This window comes from Homo sapiens, chromosome 7 (genome assembly GCF_000001405.40).
Source record: "Homo sapiens chromosome 7, GRCh38.p14 Primary Assembly".
Lineage (NCBI taxonomy): Eukaryota > Metazoa > Chordata > Mammalia > Primates > Hominidae > Homo > Homo sapiens.
In genome coordinates, this window is record NC_000007.14 from 101,788,273 (window position 1) to 101,789,905 (window position 1,633).

The window sequence follows — 1,633 nt, forward strand, 5'->3', positions numbered from 1 at the left end:
TGTCATTGTGCCTGCAGGCAGGGAATTTGTGACTAAGACCCTATCTCTGTCCTATGTTGCCTATGGCTCCCCCTCATTCCCCAAGCCCAATCCATTCCTGCCCACCCTGATCAACACCAAACCATCAGATTAATCCAAAGCACATCACAAAGATTTTCCTCCCCTTGCCAGGCACCAGGTCTGGAGCTGGGGGCCTTGAGGTGGGCCAAGCACAAGGCCCCTCCTCATGTTGTACCATGAAGACCAAGTGATCAGTACAATAAGAGAGGTGGAAAGGACTCCTGTGGACTGGGGTAAACAGGGTGGGTTTCCCAGGGGAGGTGAGATTTCAGAGGGGTCTTAAATTATGAAGATAAAGATCATTGACCTAAGTGTCCATCAACAGTGGATTGGCTAAAGAAAATGTGGAACCATATATACCATGGAATACTATGCAGCCATAAAAAAGAATGAAATAATGTCCTTTGCAGCCACATGGATGCAGCTGGAGGCCATTATCCCAAGTGAAATAACTCAGAAACAGAAAACCAAATACCACATGTTCTCACTTATAACTGGGAGGTAAACAATGGGTACTCATGGATATAAAGATGGAAATAATAGGCCAGTCAGCGTGGCTCACACTTGTAATCTCAGCACTTTGGGAGACCAAGGTGGGTGGATTACTTGAGGTCAGGAGCTCGAGACCAGCCTGGCCAACATGGTGAAACCCCATCTCTACTAAAAATACAAAAATTAGCCAGGCGTGGTGGCACATGCCTGTAATCATAGCTACCGGGGAAGCTGAGGGAGGAGGATTGCTTGAACCCAGGAGACGGAAGTTACAGTGAGCCGAGATCACACCACTGTACTCCAGCCTGGGAAACAGAACAAGACTCCATCTCAAAAAAAAAAAAAAGATGGAAACAATAGACACTGGGGTCTCTAAAAGCGGGGAAGGGGCAAGGGCTGAAAAACTATGTCATGGATATTATGTTCGCTATTTGAGTGATGGGTCCATTAGAAGAGCAAACCCCATCATCACACAATATACTGAGATCACAAACTTGCACATGTACCCCATGAATCTATAATAAATAACAACAACAACAAATTAACAAGGTATTAAAAAAAATAAAGATCACTGGTAATGGGTCAGAGGTGAGGCACATCATGGAGGTTCCACAGAAAAAGCCCACTGAAGAAGCATGGGGGCCGTGTGCGGATGCTCAGGCCTGGAATCCCAGCACTTTGGGAGGCCAAGGCGGGAGGATCGCTTGAGGTCAGGAGTTTGAGACCAGCCTGGCCAACATGGTGAATCCCCATCTCTACTAAAAATACAAAAATTAGCCAGGTGTGGTGGTGCATGCCTGTAGCTCCAGCTATTTGGGAGGCTGAGGTGGGAGGATCCCTTGAACTCAGGAATTTGAGGCTGCAGTGAGCTATGATCGCACCACAGTGCTCCAGCCCGGGCAACAGAACCAGACCCTGTCTCTAAAAAAATTAAAATTTAAGAAATTAAAAAAAAAAAAGAAAAGGAGAAGAAGAATGAGGGTAGTTCTTGGCCCACGACTCCTCAGTCATGTGCTTAAAGCTTTACCTTTGACCAGCAAACCCTACCCCTATGCCCTCAGCAGCCTCTTCCCAATCAGGC